The sequence below is a fragment of the Homo sapiens genome, chromosome 18, assembly GCF_000001405.40.
Source record: "Homo sapiens chromosome 18, GRCh38.p14 Primary Assembly".
Taxonomy (NCBI): domain Eukaryota; kingdom Metazoa; phylum Chordata; class Mammalia; order Primates; family Hominidae; genus Homo; species Homo sapiens.
In genome coordinates this window covers 57,571,254-57,589,876 of record NC_000018.10, presented here as the reverse complement: position 1 = coordinate 57,589,876, position 18,623 = coordinate 57,571,254, and the positions used below count along the sequence as shown (strand labels likewise).

Sequence of the window (18,623 nt, the reverse complement as noted above, 5' to 3'; positions counted from 1 at the left end):
CATGGTAGATGGTCAGGAAATATGGGCAGATGGATTAATAAACCCGTCACCACCATTGGGCTGAAGGCTCTGCGTGGTGAAGAGGGGCAAGTCAAAACGCATGGCATGTTGGCCTGGATTTGGTGGCCTCTTTGTTGTAAAATGATTCTAGGGACAATTGATCAGATTTCTCTGAGTAATCATTATAGCTTACCATTTGTTACATGCAGCCACTGTTTCTCTTGCCCTGAATGCCTCCTGATTCCTCCCTTCCCCAGTTATTTTTCTGATTAAGGAATCAGAGTTGAATAATCTAAATTTAGTTTGTGTAGCTCAGAGGTGCCAATCATGGCAAATAATGAATGAAGAGATTTCCCACCCCTTTCCCTGAAGCACTGAGCTGAAACCAACAAATTCATTTTATTTAGGATCACAGGCTGCACTCAGAGTGGTGTCTGTGACAGGTGAGTGCTTTATTCACTAATGAACTCACCAGGCCCCAGACAAACCCTCTCCCTCCTGGTTGGGGTGCTCCTTATCTCCGTTAGCCCACACACTGTGCCTTTTTAGCCTTCTGTTTGCTAATGGAATTGGTGTGTCATTTTGTTAAAAATATGTTAAGTCAGAAAAAATTCATATTATGTATATCATATGGTTCCGCAAATTTCTTTAGCCTTTCAAGGGCTTTTCTGGTAAGCCTGTATTTAGAGTTCACAATTTCTGGATTAAGGACTGTGTTTTCTACCAGTTTTGAAAAGGACCAACATAAAGCACATTTTATCTGCTTTCACTGCATAAGAACATAAAAATTTACTCATTGGAAAGCTGTTATATTCAATGTTTGTAAGAAATAAGCCATAGATTAGGAATAACAATTGTTATGGTACTCTCTGTTGGGGAAAAAGAATGAAGTTCTGTTTTCAGTTATAACCCATGAGTTCTTAATATGTGCACCAGGAGGTTTTATACATGAGGAATTTTGAATGAGTTTTTAAAAGTCAGTAAAGCACCTGTAATCCCAGCTACTCGGGAGACTGAGGCAGGAGAATCACTTGAACCCAGTAGGCGGAGGTTGCAGTGAGCCGAGATCGTGCCATTGCACTCCAGCCTGGGCAACAGGGTGAGACTCCCTCTAAAAAAAAAAAAAACAAAAAAAATTAATTAATTAATGAAAAAATAAAAAATAAAAAAAGAAGTCAGTAAAAATGAAAGTGCAAGATGCGAATAAAAGAAATGAAATGATGCTGATTCATTAAAATATTTAATAAAGTATGTCTTGCTAGTTCCATAATCATTTCTGGACAGAAATTTAACCCACGCCAGCCATTGATTTTGTACTGGTGAGACTTGGCACCTTTATGCCTTGTCACTAATCATCAGCGTTTGCCTGGGAGGGACCAGAAGCCCCCTTATCTCTACCCAGCAGGAGGGCCCAGCACCCTGGATGGAGGGGATGACTTTCTCCAGGGCCTCCCAGAGGGGACAAGAAGAGCCTTCATAGCTCAGACGTCTAACCCCCCCGGCCATTTTATTCTCTGGCCTTGTCTACATGTCTGCCAGCACAGCATTGCGAGGTGTGCAGCCTTTCAATTTAGTTTCTTTAGAAGAAATGGGCTCAGGCCGCGCATGGTGACTCACGCCTGTAATCCCAGCACTTTGGGAGGCCGAGGTGGGTGGACCACTTGAGGTCAGAAGTTCGAGACCAGTCTGGCCAACATGGCAAAACTCTGTATCTACTGGAAATACAAAACAAACAAATAACAACAACAACAACAAAAATGGGTTCAGACTGTAGGTAGAGAAGTATGTTATCCATGAAGATCACCTCTTTACAGGGCAACTTAAGAAGACTATAATTTTTTTATGAGGGTAGAGAATAGCCACACATATAAGGAAGGTGGGTTGATACCTGGAGCAGGTTTTACTGTGCTTTTCTCAGGACATCCGCTTGGATATGAAGATCATGTAGGTAATATGAAAGGCTATCCATTTAATTTGACATTTTGCATTGGGCTTATAACCATCAGGAGGACCAACTTTAATAAGAAATAAACTAATTCCATCAGTAGCACATATTTAAGCTACAGAAAACTGGGTTTCAGCTGAATCTAGACTCCATCTTCCCTGAATGTTCCATATGGCTTGCCCCCTTTGCTCAAATGTGTATAAGGCCTTTGCTCGAATGTGTGAGACTCTGACCCACCTGCTTCAAATTGCATTAGTCCCTTCCCCCACCCTACCCCATCTCTTTTACCTTGCTTCATTCTTCTTTTGTCCTGAGAGGGAAAAAGAAGAGGGGAGGCCGTGGAAGGGCTCCATCATTCAAAGTATTACATGTTGTGATTATTTTCTGTGTCTCCCCTAACCCCATGTAAGCCCCCGTCTACTCTTTTCACTACTGTTTTCCCAGTGCACATAGTAGGTGCTCAATATTTGTTCAATGAATACCGATGCCTGAGACCTTTCTGTACCAAGGGCTGGTTTCCTACTCCACAATGCACTGAACATATATAGGCAGGGTGGGCTGACGGAGGTGTAGGAATGAAATGGGCGCCTGTTCCTCCCAGTGATCTCAGTGTGCGACCTTGGGGGCGGGACGGGCGGCTAAACTGGGAAGGTGCGCGGATATGATACAGACAAACCTCATCATACCGTCCCTCCAAGAAATGCACTTGCCAGGCTGGCCTTCACTTTTCCTAATGCTCTTCAGTGAGTTTCACCTGTCAAATTCTGCTACACAGAGAGGGTGCAGAGAAACTGAATAATCCCTTTTTCTATTCTGAAAATAAAGCAAAACAAAACAGGATCTGCACACTTGTGTTGTGACTAGGCAGGCAAACTGGAGAACTGAGGCAAAAGCATCCTTATATCTAAATAATAGTAATGGAAACGTCGAAAAAAGTTATTTGCTGAGTCATGGCTGAGGATCCTGACTTCGCTAGTTTGGCAGATGCAAACAGGGCACGCAACTAGGAGTCCAGCAGGTTTTGCAGTGACCTGCGATGGTGGTGGGGAGCGGGCTTCTAGCTCAGCCCCCGGGCCCATTTTCACGCAGGGAGCGGCGCCCAGCTGGGGCGGGCTCTCCGCGAGGGGCGTGTCTCTGCCTGGCCTCGCCCGCCCCGGCCCGGCAGCGAATGAGCGGGCGCGCCGGGAGGGCGCGAGGTCAGGGGGCTGGGGACGCGCGTGGGGATCGCTACCCGGCTCGGCCACTGCTGGGCGGACACCTGGGCGCGCCGCCGCGGGAGGAGCCCGGACTCGGGCCGAGGCTGCCCAGGCAATGCGTTCACTCGGCGCAAACATGGCTGCGGCCCTGCGCGCCGCGGGCGTCCTGCTCCGCGATCCGCGTAAGTGGGTCTGTCGCGGCGGCCGCCAGGGCCAGGATCCCTGAGAAGGCGTGGGCAGAGCGGGCAGCTGGCGCCCGGGCCCTCGCGCCCGGGGGATTCGGGGAGCGGCCTTGGGGGTGCTGCGAGCAACCGGGCGAGGGGCGTCGCGGAGAAGGGAGGGCTGAGGGCAGCACTCAGGGCTCGGGAGGCCGCGGGGAGGGCGCCCGGATCCAGGAGGCGCAGGTTCAAGTCCCATCGGTCGGCTGGGTGGCTTGGAGCAGTGGCTGGAATTTCCCAGAGCCTTGGTTATTGTCACCTGCAATAACCAGGCTGTTGAGAAGATTACGCGAGGGAAGGTATGTTATGGGCCTGCCATAGAGGATAGTAAGGAAGGCATCTTCATCATCACCACCATGGACATCTGCCCTGCAGTTCCCTCCCTGCTGAGGAAAGCCCATGGTCCTTGGTCCCTCTGTGCCCACTTCTCCTTAGCAGCGGGACCCCCCGTGGGGCAGCCTGGGCTAGCGTTTTCTAGAGATATCTGGGGAACTTGTAAGACCCAGGAACAGCCTCCCACGTTTCTGATGCAAACCGTGAATAGGTTGTGACCACAGGATGAGCTGATGGGACTGTGGATCTCACACACCTGGCTGGGACAGCATTTCCAACTGTGACACCTTGAACAAGGCACCTAACCTCGCCAGAGCTTTGGTAAATGTACATTGAAATCCTAATTTTTTTTTTAAGGCTTGCCTTGAACATGAGCACCTTGCCTGGCACACAGTAGTACACAGGCATCCTCAAGATGTCTAGCCATTCATGCAGAAGGCTGCCACGAATAAGATGCTTATTCAATGCATCCGAACGGTGACTGGACACAGACCGGACATATTTTTCTAAGACGTTCGTCAGTCTGACACCTACTTGGAGTGGAGGGAATCCCCTCTGAACCTCCATATCTCATTAGACGTGCCTTTGTTAGGAAAATACTAAGGACCCAGTGTACAATGAGGCTAGCTCACTAAGGGCGCTGGGGGACAAAGGGCATTGTTTTTTAAGAAGAGGCAGCACAGTGCCAGTCGTGGGGCTGAAAGAAGTATTGAACTAATCTTTTCTTTCACTGACCTTTCCTGTGGCAAATAAAGTCTGACAGGTCCTAGATTTGAGGTCGTGGAACAATATGTGAAACTTTAAATTATTTGTAGTCTAGGTTAAAAGTGGAAAGATTCAGAAACGCTAGCAGAAGTAGATTTGGAGTCTTATTTGTGTTACAGACTTTGATTTGAAGGCATAGTTATAATACTTCATCATTTTGGTTGATAGGAAAAGATCAACTTCTGTGTGAGAAAACACTGAGGATTATTTCCGAAAATGAGTTCTGAAAGTAAAAGTGGAAAAGCAAAGTTTTATACTTTATGTATTTAGCATATTACAGAATTAATAAGAAGCTTCCGGGGGTGGGCCATATATTATCTGTCTGTTTAGCTATCTATATGAATTATTTTTTTTCTTGGTGCCTTTTTCTTTCCAAACTTTAAACGTTTTGTTTCTTTTGTTTTTTTAAGAGATGGAGTGTTGCTCTGTCGCTCAGGCTGGTGTACGGTGGTGCCATCATAGTTCACTGCAGCCTTGAAATCCTGGGATCAAGTGATCCTCCCGCCTCAGCCTCCCTGGTAGCTGGGATTACAGGCATGATCTAGTGTGCCTGGCCCCCCAAACATTTTTTTTCACTGAGCATATATTGTCTTATGTAATTAGAAAAACAATTCTAGGATAATAAAAGAGTTGTAGGGTTTACATAAGAGACATTAGAACATTTTGGCTCCATATCAGCAACTAACCAATATTTTGAAGCACCCACTATGTTTATTAATAGTTATAATATAGAACCTTATTTCTTTTGTTAATTTTAAAAACGGTGCATATTTTATAAGTACTTTTGAAGTAATCCTCATCTCCTATGTGATAGAAAAGTGCCATTATAGATTTCAATACTTGTGTATCTCGCCCCCCACCCTCTTCTGCCTCGCCCACAAGGATCCAAAATATTAATTTGGTTTTGAAGAACCAGTTGATACTTAAGAACTTTTTTTTCTGTTTTTCCTTTTTCTTTATTTCTTTTTGCAACAACATGAAGTCATAACTTAGGAACTTCTTAAGTCATAGGTATACTTCTGAATGATCACCTATTGGATTTGTCCAGGAATTATGAAGTTTGTTTTTTGAGAGTTTTTTTTTTTTTTTTTTTTGAGACCGAGTCTCACTCTGTTGCCTAGGCTGGTCTTGAACTCCTGAGCTCAAGTGAGCCTCCTGCCTCAGTCTTCCAAGTAGTTGGGACTACAGGTGTCCACCACTGCAGGAGTTATGAAGTTTTGTTTTCTTTTTTTTTTTTTTTTGAGACGGAGTCTCGCTCTGTCGACAGGCTGGAGTGCAGTGGCATGATCTCGGCTCACTGCAACCTCCGCCTCCCAGGTTCAAGGGATTATCCTGCCTCAGCCTCCCAAGTAGCTGGGACTACAGGCAGGTGCCACCACACCCGGCTAATTTTTTTGTGTTTTTAGTAGAGATGGGTTTCACTGTGTTAGCCAGGATGATCTCTATCTCCTGACCTGTGATCTGCCCGCCTCGGCCTCCCAAAGTGCTAGGATTACAGGCATGAGCCACTGTGCCCGGTGAAGTTTCGTTTTCTTATGTCATCTTCTGTTTTGCTGCTTATCTGTCGGTTTGATCATTTTTATTGTTTGTAGGCCTTCTTTTTTTCTTTTTAATTAAACAAAATAGAGATAGGGTCTCTCCACATGGCCTAGGCTAGTCTCAAACTCCTGGGCCCAAGCAGTTCTCCCGCCTCGGCCTCCCAAAGTGCTGGAATTACAGGCGTGAGCCCCCATGCCCGGCCTGTTTGTAGGCCTTCTAAAGGTAGATCAGTTATCCATGTAAGGAGGAGGGGCAGAATTACTTGGTCTTAGTTCATAAATGGGCAAGTCTATACTATTGGATATTCTTCACCCCTTTGCTCAGCCACATGCAGTGTGCAAGGCATTGCTCTTGGGGCTGGACATATTTTTCCCCTCTTATCTTCACAGCAGCCCTGCAGAAGTAGCCTTATCACTATTTTGCAGATGAGAAAAGTGAGACTCGCAGCATCTCAGTGAGTGGCCCAGGCCCAGCCATACAGCCTCTTGGTCCCGTGTGGGATTTCTGCTCAGATCTCTCTGGTTTCCGAACACGTACTCTCTACGCCACGCAATGCTGCCCGTGCCATCAGATTCTCTTCAGCTGTGAGCTGAGTCTTTTCCAGAGTCTCAGTTGGCCCTTTGAATGTTTACTTTAAACTCCTTTAGCCTGGACGAATGCTAATTGTTTGGTAGGAGACGCTTTTCATTTTTCTAGAATCTTCAGATCATTAGGGGAGAGGAGTGTTTTGGATGAGTCCTTGAAGGGTGAGTGTATTAACGAACCTGAGTGGAAAGGGTCCCTTGGCAGCGACATCATTCTCCTCTCTGAGAATCTGGTGAACCATGGAGAAAATAATTTTGTAAGTAAGACATGGTAATAGTTAAGCAGCTTGAAAAGCTACTAGCTCCCAAATTTATTAGGAAATCCTCATCTACTAGTTGGAAAATCTAGTCCCTCCCCACCGCTTCCTTCTTCTTTTTTTTTTTTGAGATGGAGTCTCACTCTGTCACCCAGGCTGGAGTGCAGTGGTGTGATCTCGTCTCACTGCAAGCTCCACCTCCCGGGTTCATGTCATTCTCCTGTCTCAGCCTGGAACTACAGGCACCCGCCACCACGCCTGGCTAATTTTTTTTTTTTTTTTGTATTTTTAGTAGAGATGGGGTTTCACCGTGTTAGCCAGGATGGTCTTGATCTCCTGACCTCGTGATCCACCCGCCTCGGCCTCCCAAAGTGCTGGGATTACAGGCATGAACCACCGCGCCCGGCCTTTCTTTTTTTTTTAACTCCTTAAATTTTGTGTAGAAACGAGGGTCTTGCTATGTTGCCCAGGCTGCCCCCAAATGTCTGGGCTCAAGCGATCCTCCCACCTCTGCCTCCCAAAGTGCTGGGATTACAGGTGTGAGCCACCACACCTGGCACTCCTTCCTTTTTTTAGGTTTGAAGGAGGAAATGTCATTTTATTACAGGTTGAGTACCCCTTATCCTGAATGCTTGGGACCAGAGGTGTTTTGGACAGATTTTTTTTAGGTTTTGGAATATACTTACTTACAGATTGAGCATTCCAAATCTGAAAATCTAAAATTCAAAATGCTCCAATGAGCATTTTCTTTGAGTGTCATGTCAGTGCTCAAAAAGTTTCAGGTTTTGGAGCATTTTGGATTTTGGATTTTCACATTTGGGATGCTAAACTTGTACCAGCAGTCAAACTGTGGAATGCCAAGGTTTCATTCTCATGCCCCATGGAATCCGATACAATCTCACTCATAAGGAATTAGGGCCATTGCAGCATGATTAGGAACCTGGTTAAATCCCACGATGAAGTTCAGAATTAAACTTAGTAAAAAAGGAGATGTGAGTTGGTTTGAGCCTTGGAATTGAATTTTTTTTTTTTTAAAACACCAACTCAAACCAGATGGAATTGAACTTCTTTATGGAATCTTTGCACTTCCACTTTGAGTTGGTAAAGATTATTCAGCATAAGCTGACATGATTGGCTGTGCTAGGAATGTGTACAATCTGGGTGGTTGGAAATCTAATGGCCTGGAGATATAATTCTCTTATATTTTACAGACATGCTAGGTGATAAAATCAGAGCAGGTATAGTTCCCGTCCTCTAGAAACTGACAATTGAAACTAACACCAGTACTAATCACATGGTGGACACTGCAGAACGCTTCACTCCTCTGCTCTACTCCTTTCAAGAATCCCTGTAGCAAGGTGTCATTTTACAGGTGGGGAAACTCAGGCTCAGGAAGACCTGGCCCCAGGTCACATTGCTAGTAAGTGGCAGAGCTGAATTCAGAGTCAGAGCTGCTTAACCCACAGCCTGAATTCCTCCTCAGGGCACCTTTGCCTCTTAGGAGGAGGAGGGCAGAAGGAGACTGATCGCAAGCTGGTTTCTAACCGGCTGGTTTGAGAATGGGGAAGAGGTCATGTGCATAGCACCAGGCACCACAGTAACCACCGTCTCACATGGCCATCTTCAGTACTTCCTATATGGCTTCAGTTTCATTTCACTGGCTGTTTAAGGACCAGTACTCTTCATATGACAGCTGAGTATGGCACATGATCTCCTCAATTCAGGTGGGTTCTTCAGACCCACTGCCACCTCCTGTGGGGCCCAGGACAAGGGTATACTTGAAGGCACATATATGGTATGTGGGATATAGCAAGCTAACAAACTGGGAAATATGTTCTGTCCTCCTATGTTGACAAATAGACCTTGATCACAACCTGGAAGGATGAGCTCTTGAACTCTCTGAGTTCCTGCAGAAGTGTAGAGGCCTTTGGAGAGTTGCCTCTGACTGACATGCTTTCCTGCTTCTCTTCTTGCCGCTGGCTCTTTCTGGCCTTGTGGGGAGCCTCACAGACAGCCTGGATGGACTCTCTGGTCTTCATGCCCAGTTCCACTCTTGCCCCTGCAAACAGCTATCTATCCCTTGGCCACCATTCAGGTCAAGACTTGATCCACTGATGGCACAACCTCCCTCAGGAGGATGGATCTGAAAAAATGCCTGCACAGACCCTGGGAGTGGGTGTGGAGCTTGGGGGACAGGGAATCCTGGGGCGCTGGGAGCCTGGTCTGGCACGTGGGATGTGGACTCCTGGGGTGGCATGTCTCCTTGGTGGTAGAGACTGCATACCCCGTGGGGTGGGGTGCAGTGGGAGGAGGGCCAGAACAGGCCCTGGGAAGCAGAGGCCCCTTGTCAAGGTTCAAGGGCAGTACTGGGTTCTCAGCACGAGTGCTTTCCGAAGAAGGCTTGGAGGCAGAAAGGAGAACTGCAGCTATTTGGAAACTGGCCCACTCGCCACTCCCGAAATCGGCGGCTTTTCACTTTTCTGCAGCCCCTTCTCCTTCCACAGGAGCAGCACGCTACTGTCAGTCATGTTGGTCTCGTGCAGGGGTTCTTGTGAGGGATTGTATCAAAATCTGCAGCCGAGGTGGGGAGAGGAGGTGTGTGTAGTTTCTAAAATGCTTCTCTGCAGGCTCTCATCGGCCATCCTAGGGGAGCGATCCTCCACCCCATCCCCTTGGAGAGGGCTTAAGTTCCTTTACCTGCCTGCAGAGAAATGCTAGGAAAATCATTTCTGCCATGGGATCTCTTTAAATTTTAAAGTCAGGAATTATGCTCTGAGGACCTCTTCAGAAGAAATTACTTTCTAGCTAGATTTCATGCGAGCACTTTAATTTTGTCACAGTGGCATCCAGCAGCTGGAGGGTCTGTCAGCCATGGAGGTGGAAGTCAGGTGCAGCTGCAGCGGCCGTCACCACAGAAACAGCCCAGCATGCCCAGGGTGCAAAACCTCAAGTTCAACCGCAGAAGAGGTATGAGTCTAACATCAGGTACAAATAAGAATTTCTCTTTATCGATGCAGACACCAATAGACACAAGCTGCCTGGGAGGAAAGGTGCTGGGAAAAGCCAGTGTGGAAGGAGCTATTTTCTTGGCTTCCTTTCAATAGCTGTTAAACCATAGATTTTACACCCTCCTTCCCCACTGGATCCTTCCCTGCAACAGGGCTATTGTTAAAAGACACAGAGTTGAGTACAAACAGTCTGCAAATTGTGTTAAGAATTTGGTTCTGGAATATGTCACATAACACAAATTATATATGCTGGAAATGTATTTACGAACCTAACATAATTATGCCTATGAAATGTATGTTCTGTACAGGATAACGAATAACTGGTCTACCAAGAATTTCTATAGGAAGCTAGAGTATTGTTTTTCATCCCTTAACACAGTGAACGTAATTATAAAAGAAGTAACAGGATTTATCATCTATTAAAGAAGTGAAGTACACGTTTCATACCTCACCTCTTCTGTTGCTGGTGGCTGGCAGCAGGCATGGCATTGTTGCAAGGGTCCTCTTTAGTAACAGGAGTCACAACCGCTCCCAAGTCTTCCTCTGTACAGAGGCAACAGAAGACTCTATAAAGGGAAGTTATCGAGATGAGTACATAGAAACAGCACCCTTTAACATCAGGCAGAGTGAGAGAAAGTAGCTGGGACCTATTTAACTCCATGACCTTTCTGCTAGATCACACATTGTTTGATGAAAATTATACAGGTATGAATATATACACACACACACACACACACACACATATATACACACACACATATATATATATATCTTTTTTTTTTTTTTGAGAGAGTCTCACTCTGTCTCTCAGGCTGGAGTGTGGTGGCACAATCTCAGCTCACTGCAGCCTCCACCTCCCGGGTTCAAGCAATTCTCATGTCTCAGCCTCCCGAGTAGCTGGGATTACAGGCACATACCACCACGCCTGGCTAATTTTTGTATTTTTAGTAGAGACGGGAATTCACTATGTTAGCCAGGCTGGTCTCAAACTCCTGACTTCAAGTGATCCGCCCGCCTTGGCCTTCCAAAGTGCTGGGATTACAGGCATGAGCCTGTAATTTTATTTTTTTTTTGAGAGGGAGTCTTGCTCTTTCACCCAGGCTGGAGTGCAGTGACTTGATCTTGGCTCACTGCAACCTACACCTCCCAAGTTCAAGCCATTCTCCTGCCTCAGCCTCCCAAGTAACTGGGATTACAGGTGCATGCCACCACACCCAGCTGATTTTGCATTTTTAGTAGAGATGGGGTTTCACCATGTTGGCCAGGCTGGTCTCGAACTCCTGACTTCAAGTGATCCACCCACCTTGGCCTCCCAAAGTGCTGAGATTACAGGCGTGAGCCACCGTTTTTATTTTGAGGAGTGTAGCTCTGTCACCCAGGCTGGAGTGCGGTGGTGTGATCATGGCTCACTGCATCCTTGAACTCCTGGGCTTAAGTGATCCTCCTGTCTCAGCCTCCCAAGTAGCTAGGACTACAGGTGCACACCACCACACCCAGCTAATTAAAACAAATTTTTTTTCTTGTAAAGATGGGGGTCTCATTTTGCTGCCGAGGCTGGTTTTGAACTCTTGGCTTCCAGCAGTTCTGCCATGGCTTCCCAAAGTGCTGGTATTACAGGCATGAGCCATGAGCCACGAGCCACCGTGCCTGGCCAGAACCAAAATTTTCTTATTGTGTGTTTATTGTTTTTTGCTATATGATCATGGGTATGATGACTGAGTGCTGTGTAACCTGAGGTTAGTTGGGGATGGGCATTAGATACCTTCTTCATCTGGCAGCCTGCCAAGCAGGGCCCATTCCATTTCTCCTTGCCCCTCCCAGCCCCTCTCCCCACCTCAGCCATATGCACTGAGGGTTGGGATTTGATAGAAACTGAAGAACTGATTCAGTTTGGAATCCTAGAAGAAAAATTATTTCATTTGTGTGTTTTTCTAGCAGCAACTCATTAATATAAGTAGGCTTAATATTATTAAAATTAAATGAAAGTCTTTAAATTCTACTAAGTAACTTTAGATCATATTTATATAAAATAAATGGGATCATTTTAGAGAATACGGATAGGCAACAAAAAAAACCTTAAAACATTATGAATAATCTTACCACCCAATATTTTGTCTCTCTCTGTCTTCTTAAAAAAAAAATAGAGACGAGGTCTTACTGTGTTGCTCAGGCTTGTCTTGAACTCTTGGGGTCAAGCAGTCCTCCTGCCTCAACCTCCCAGAGTGCTGGGATTACAGGTGTGAGCGACCAGCCAGGCCAATTTTGTCTGTATGACTATTAAATATTCACTCTGTATGTATTTAGCAAGATGTGACCGTACTGTACATCATATATTTATAATGCCCTCTTTTTATTTACTTTATCATCATAAATACTTGTCTATATTATTTTAGTAACTGAAGAGTATTTTATTAAGTCATAAACTACCTTGACCAACATTCTGGGACACGTAGGTGATTTCTAGTTTTTTAATATTAGAAATGGTGAAGCAGTGAGTGTCTTTGTGGATTCTTCTGATGGCAGTCATTATGAAGGCATTGTGCTGCTTAATGCTTGGGCTGGACTAGACTGCAATACTAGAGTAGACACTACACTAGGCCAGGGGTTGACATTAGTTCTGTAAAGGGTTAGGTAGTAAATTTTTCAGGCTTTGTAGGCCAAACTCTGTCTTTTGCTGCTATTCAACTCCGCTGTTGTAGTGTGAGAGCAGCCATAGATATTACATAAACAATGAGGGGAGCTGTGTTCCAGTAAAACTTTATTTACAAAAACAGGCAGTAGGGGTGTATGTGTGTATACAGATTTAGTGCATGGGCTATAGTTCACCAAATTCTGTTCTAGAGGCATCATAGACCCACAGGCCAATCATGTCTTAGAGGTTTAATGAAGAGCTGGGATCGTATTACTTTTTCTTGAGGCTGACCATATAGAGTAGAATAGAATTATTGTTTATTAATTGACAAGCTTAAGTTTCTGTTACGTACATTTAATATTTCACGGAAAAACCTTGTATTTTGAGAGTCCTGGGATATAAAAATGGCAAAATGTTGAAACCTTTCCAAGTGAGAAGTTTTAAATATATTTTGCTGTATACACTTTTATATTCAAACAAACGGAACATGAACGTTCAGACCTTGGTCTCAGGTGTGTTCTGTCTGGAGGGAGAGGAGATGGAGACCCTTGACTAAAGCTTTCACTTCACATTCTGGAATAGAGGGGTGTCAGACTGGGGCTTACTAATGCGCTATTCATCATGCACAACACAGTTTTGAATTAAGTGCATGTGTATTTAGGTATTTTCAAGTCGTGTGCATCTCTTTCATGTGTAAGATCAACATGCGTTTGCAAAACCATGAGCAGGGCAGAGTAGCATCCCCTTTAAAGCCACTCTTGTTCTGAGCTCAGGTGTTATAGATGAAAAACAGCTCTAAATCCCGTTTGCACACTGATACCGTCTGTGGCTTAGGTAAGTCTTTTAGCCTGAGGTTTTTTTAACCAGTAATCTGTTAACTGGCAGCAATCCATGGGAAAATGCACTTAATTTATTGTGAGTCACAGATTTTGAAGGTGAAAGACAGGATCCCAGGAGAAGACTAGTGGTCTAAGTAGAAAGATTAAACGAATATTAGTTTCACAAAATAATGCATCTGGAATTTTCAAATATCAAGGAAAGAAAACTCAACACACCCGTTAATGCAGTTGTAGGACTCGAGCATGGAAGAGTTATATAACAACCACATCTTCAGTGCAGTTGCTTGGTTGTTTTAGAAGGGGATTAAGCCCTCTTTCTCTAAGACAGTGATTCTCAATAGGGGGAAGGGGGCATTTTTGCCTCCTGGGACAAATTTGGCAATGGCTGGAGACATTTTTGGTTGTCACACTGGGGTGGGGTGTGTGCTATTATTGTGTACAGGTAGAGGCCAGGTATGCTGCCAAGGCTCCTGCATTGCACAGGGCCGTCCTCTACAACAAAGGACTCTCCAGCCCCAAACGTCAGTAGTGCTGAGGTTGAAAAACCCCGGTTGAAGGCATTGATGTGAAAAGGGACCTTAGTTAATCTTTATAATGGGGTCTAAATGAGAAAATCCCTGATCTCATTGTAATGCCATATTTCTCCTTCCCCAGGAATTGATTCGTATTCTGAAAAAGTAGGTTGAGAATTCAGATTTTTACCTCATCCACTTATACAACAGGTTTGATCAAGAAAACAGTTTCTACCTGTTTACATTTGACATACCCTGCTGCCTTACGTTATTGCCAAATGTTGTTAATAATTGTTTAAAAATTGCCCATTAAGATGTCACCATAAGCCTGGGGCAATGGCTCACACCTGTAATCTCAGCACTTTGGGAGCCTGAGCCAGGAGTTTGAGACCAGTCGGGGCCACATGGCGAGACTCTGTCTATATAAAAAATTTTAAAAGTAGCCAGGCATGGAGGCATGTGCCTGTGGTCCCAGCTACTCAGGAGGCCGAAGCGGGAGGATCACTTGAGCCCGGGAGGTCGAGGATGCAGTGAGCTTTGTTTGTGCAACTGCACTCCAGCCTGGGTGACAGAGTGAGACCCTGTCTCAAAAAAAAACAAAAACAAAAAAGATGTCATCATAGTATCTTTAGTTTTCGAGCACATAAAGAATGTTTCTCTATACAGGCTCTGTCTCAGCAGCATTGGTTTAGTCACTGCAGTGGTCAGAGGTAGTCTGGTGTAGGAGATTCAGGAAGTAGACCCCTCAGCGTTCATAATAACGGTGTTTAGATAAACTTCAGGCTGGTTATTTTTCAGCTGCTTTATTGAAAGTGAATAGAGGGTATAACCATATAATGAAATATTATTTAGCAATAAAGAGGAGTGAAGTGTACTGATTCATGCTACGACACGTAGCATGAACATTTTATGCTGAGTAAAACCAGACACAATCATGAACATTTTATGCTGAGTAAAACCAGACACAATCATGTGATTCCATTTCTATGAAGTGTCCTGAATAGGCAAATCTATAGACCCAGAAAGTAGATTACTGGTTGCCAGGGGTGAGAGGGGAGGGAACAGGGAGTGGCTTTAATGGATACGAAGATTCTTTGTGGGGTAAAGATGTCCTGGAGTTAGATAGTCGTGATGGTTTCCTGCCTTTCCTTATGTATTAGAAACCTCTGAATTGTTCAGATTATGGTGAATTTTGTGGTATGTGAGTTATATCTCAATTTTTAAATATGAAAAAAAGATGAATGAATGAATGGAAGAAATGCTCCTTGATCTTTAGTTCCCCAGTTATTGCCATCCCATGGCTACCTGCTCATGGGGACACGCAAGGTCTTCTGGTGGCTCCTGCCAGCGTGCCAGAGGCACCTGGTCCTGCTCCGACTTCACCTTGCCCTCTGGCGGGGCTTAGGAGTGGGGAGCTCCTGGCCTGGCTCACTTTGGGCTGTGTTGACTCCGGAGCTTGATCTGGATTTTAGGTTTACATTTTTGCATAGCACTTTGTTTTTTTAAGTTTCCAGAAGCTGCTTGACCTAAAACTTGTTATGGAGCTCTGCTTTCTTTTTGCTTCTTCCTGCTTATTCAGGGGTTGATTCTGTAGCCTGGGACTAATTTGAATGTTAGCACCGGTTCTTGCAGGAATTATCTACACAGTGAATTTACATGCAGGATGGAGAGGAGAAGTTTATCATAACAGGAGCCATGGATGAAGGAATAGAGGGAGGTCTTGGAGAAGGAAGCAGAGGAGCAAGCAATAACTTAAGTCAGTCCTGGTGTGGTGGCTCACACCTGTAATCCCAGCACTTTGGGAGGCCGAGGCAGGCTCCTGACGTCAGGATTTTGAGACCAGCCTGGCCAACATGGCGAAACACCATCTCTACTAAAAATACAAAAATTAGCCTGGGTGCGTGTAATCCCAGCTACTTGGGAGGCCGAGGCAGGAGAATTGCTTAAACCTGGAAGGCGGAGGTTGCAGCGAGCTGAGATTGCACCACTGCACTCCAGCCTGGGTGACAGAGTGAGAATCCATTTCAAAAATAAAATGTAAAAACTAATTTCAGTCAGTAGTCATTTAATTTAATAATTGACTAAAGAGACAGGAGCAGATGCAAGAGTGGGGATGGGCTGGTATTAGACTGTGGAGGTTTAAAATTTTGGGGGAACCCTGCTCTGTGTAGAGTAGAACTTACCATGTGCCAGCACGTGCTAAGTGACTGAAGATGTTACCCACTGAATTCTCAAAACAGCATTTTGAGTAGGTGGTGGGTGCTATGTTTTCCAGATGAGGAAACTTGAAGTTGGGAGAGGTCAGGTAACCTCTGTATTCATATGGTACTCACATGTACAGGTGCTTTAGCTGCAGGACAATTTTAGATTTCTACCTTGACTCCCAGTCCCTAAAGGTTCGATCTCTCTTCAGGCCGAGACTTTAAAAGGGAAACATTTCTAGCGGAGTGAAGACTGATATCATGAATTAAGCCAAAAGACAAAGGTCCAAGTCTGAGCTGGGACCATGGGGAACTGGAGGCCACAGATGTCCCCGAATAGGTATCTGTGTGACGGCAGTGAAAAGAGCCATAGTATTTACCTTTGTATGGAACAGATTAGAGTTTGCTGGCTGAACCAAGAGTCCACCCTGGAAGAAAATAAGAAGTGTGACAAATCAACCGTTGTATTTTATTTTATATAGGAAGCCGAAAACTGGAATATTAATGCTAAACATGGGAGGCCCTGAAACTCTTGGAGATGTTCACGACTTCCTTCTGAGACTCTTCTTGGACCGAGACCTCATGACACTTCCTATTCAGAAGTGAGATATATATAAACACCTCAATTATAACCTTGGCACTACATTGACATGTGTCTCTCAATTCTGTAGTTTCAAACCAGTAAATAGTTTTAATGCGTATCTGGTAATGGTTAAACAGCAGCATTGTTTTCTGTTGGATATCAGAAGGATATGATATCAGAAAATTGCAGGGGGAGAGAGCAAATAAGTTAGTGGGGATTCTCCTTGAGCCCTTTGCTCCCCAGAGCCCTGGAAATTGCAGTTGTCTTGACATAGCCTAGGTACCTTTAAAGATTTTTAAAGATATATTTGTACTTGTCACTTAACGGCTGATTAACACTCAGGGAAGCAATGATTATTATTCATTTGTACTATAAATATGGATTGTTGCTGCCCTTCTTTTCCTTTCATCCTTCTTTCCCTTCTTCCTTCTCTCCTTTTTCTTTCAAAATAGATTTCTATTATGAAAAATTAGTACATGCATGGGATAAAAACTACAAATAGTATAAAAGTAATTACAGTAAAAGGCAAGTGTCCCTTTCACCTTGCACTCCCAGTTATCCACCTGGAGGAAAGCGCTGTTACATCCAGAAATAGTCCGTGCATATCCAAGCATACACATACATACACACACACACGCGCACATACATACATACACACATGCACACCCCCCCCCCCACTTCGTTACACAAATGTGAAGGTACTTATGTACTATATTTGAAACTTTCCTTTTTTTTTTTTTTTTTTTTTTTTACATACGTATACATGTGCCATGTTGGTGTGCTGCACCCATTAACTCGTCATTTACATTAGGTATATCTCCTAATGCTATCCCTCCCCTCTCCCCCCACTCCACGATAGGCCCTGGTGTGTGATGTTCCCCTTCCTGTGTCCAAGTGTTCTCATTGTTCAATTCCCACCTATGAGTGAGAACATGCGGTGTTTGGTTTTTTGTCCTTGTGATAGTTTGCTGAGAATGGTGGTTTCCAGCTTCATCCATGTCCCTACAAAGGACATGAACTCATCCCTTTTTATGGCTGCATTAGTATTCCACATTTTCTTAATCCAGTCTATCATTGATGGACATTTGGGTTGGTTCCAAGTCTTTGCTGTTGTGAATGTGTAAACTTAACACTGTATCTTGTTTCATAACGTTATATCGATATATAGGTCTGGCTCATTTTTTGATTACTATTTAGAACTGCATCATATGGCTGTAACTTAATTTGTTTAATCCATGCTTCATGGTGGACAATTAGTTTGTTTACAGTGTTGCAGTGAACATTCTTGTGCATACATCTTTGCTCCTATATGCAAGTGTATCTATAAGATTAATAGACTTTATTTTTTAAATTAAGAGAAATGTCTACTTCATTTGTCTTATATCCTAGTTCTCGTTAGGTGTGGGATCAAAATGTGTTACGCTAGTAGCTAGCGCACATCCAGGTTTCTCTGCATGGGTGTTGTGTGTCCTGAATCTTCAGGTGTGCTGCTGGAACAGCTTGTGGAGCACAGCTGGGTATTCCTCAGAGAGGGTATAGCTTTAGCTCCTTATTCTACAACAAGAGAGCTGGCTATTGTCAATGACCTCAAGCTTCTGTTTTAAAGGCTTAATCTTGTTAGGCTCTCTAAAATTTTGCTTTTTTTCTTTTTTATTGAGTAGAAAACATTTCTCAGGTTGCTAAGCTGGAATAAAATCCACTTACCTGTATGTTAAATGATTTAGTAAGCTGGCACCATTCATCGCCAAACGCCGAACCCCCAAGATTCAAGAGCAGTACCGCAGGATTGGAGGCGGATCCCCCATCAAGATATGGACTTCCAAGCAGGGAGAGGGCATGGTGAAGCTGCTGGATGAATTGTCCCCCAACACAGGTATGGTGTTTCTTCATTAACATGTAACTAGATTAGTTCTTTCGAAGTAGTTATGAAATTCAAAAGAGTAGTAGATGCTAAATGCTTCATATGTACTGGCAACTCAATTTGTGGTGTTTCTACATAATACATGGTCAC

The 18,623-nt window shown here is 44.4% G+C and overlaps 1 protein-coding gene across 6 annotated transcripts in view, besides 6 other annotated features; it reads left to right on the top strand.

Annotated features, from left to right (window-relative positions):
• Nucleotides 2,994-3,353: a silencer, noted in NCBI's record as "silent region_9481". NCBI's record gives its function as "represses an Ori minimal core promoter by ATAC-STARR-seq in GM12878 lymphoblastoid cells {active_cell/tissue: GM12878}" and the evidence as "EXISTENCE:reporter gene assay evidence [ECO:0000049][PMID:35858748]".
• The window catches only part of FECH (ferrochelatase), a 42,326-nt gene continuing 26,877 nt past the window's right edge, over nt 3,175-18,623 (top strand). For 3 of the 6 annotated variants that reach the window (NM_001371094.1, NM_001374778.1, NM_000140.5), the window contains exons 1-4: nt 3,175-3,323; nt 9,678-9,804; nt 16,512-16,631; nt 18,337-18,485. In NM_001371094.1, coding sequence (NP_001358023.1) covers nt 3,257-3,323; nt 9,678-9,804; nt 16,512-16,631; nt 18,337-18,485 — 463 coding nt within the window. In that variant the 5' untranslated portion in view covers nt 3,175-3,256. Of the gene's footprint in view, nt 3,324-3,903; nt 4,014-9,677; nt 9,823-16,511; nt 16,632-18,336; nt 18,486-18,623 lie in introns of all 6 variants that reach the window. The other 3 variants (XM_011525881.2, NM_001012515.4, NM_001371095.1) reach the window with 2 other exon arrangements.
• Nucleotides 3,364-3,423: a silencer, noted in NCBI's record as "silent region_9480". NCBI's record gives its function as "represses an Ori minimal core promoter by ATAC-STARR-seq in GM12878 lymphoblastoid cells {active_cell/tissue: GM12878}" and the evidence as "EXISTENCE:reporter gene assay evidence [ECO:0000049][PMID:35858748]".
• Nucleotides 3,434-3,483: a silencer, noted in NCBI's record as "silent region_9479". NCBI's record gives its function as "represses an Ori minimal core promoter by ATAC-STARR-seq in GM12878 lymphoblastoid cells {active_cell/tissue: GM12878}" and the evidence as "EXISTENCE:reporter gene assay evidence [ECO:0000049][PMID:35858748]".
• Nucleotides 8,399-8,578: an enhancer, noted in NCBI's record as "active region_13373". NCBI's record gives its function as "activates an Ori minimal core promoter by ATAC-STARR-seq in GM12878 lymphoblastoid cells {active_cell/tissue: GM12878}" and the evidence as "EXISTENCE:reporter gene assay evidence [ECO:0000049][PMID:35858748]".
• Nucleotides 8,599-8,658: an enhancer, noted in NCBI's record as "active region_13372". NCBI's record gives its function as "activates an Ori minimal core promoter by ATAC-STARR-seq in GM12878 lymphoblastoid cells {active_cell/tissue: GM12878}" and the evidence as "EXISTENCE:reporter gene assay evidence [ECO:0000049][PMID:35858748]".
• Nucleotides 9,633-9,682: an enhancer, noted in NCBI's record as "active region_13371". NCBI's record gives its function as "activates an Ori minimal core promoter by ATAC-STARR-seq in GM12878 lymphoblastoid cells {active_cell/tissue: GM12878}" and the evidence as "EXISTENCE:reporter gene assay evidence [ECO:0000049][PMID:35858748]".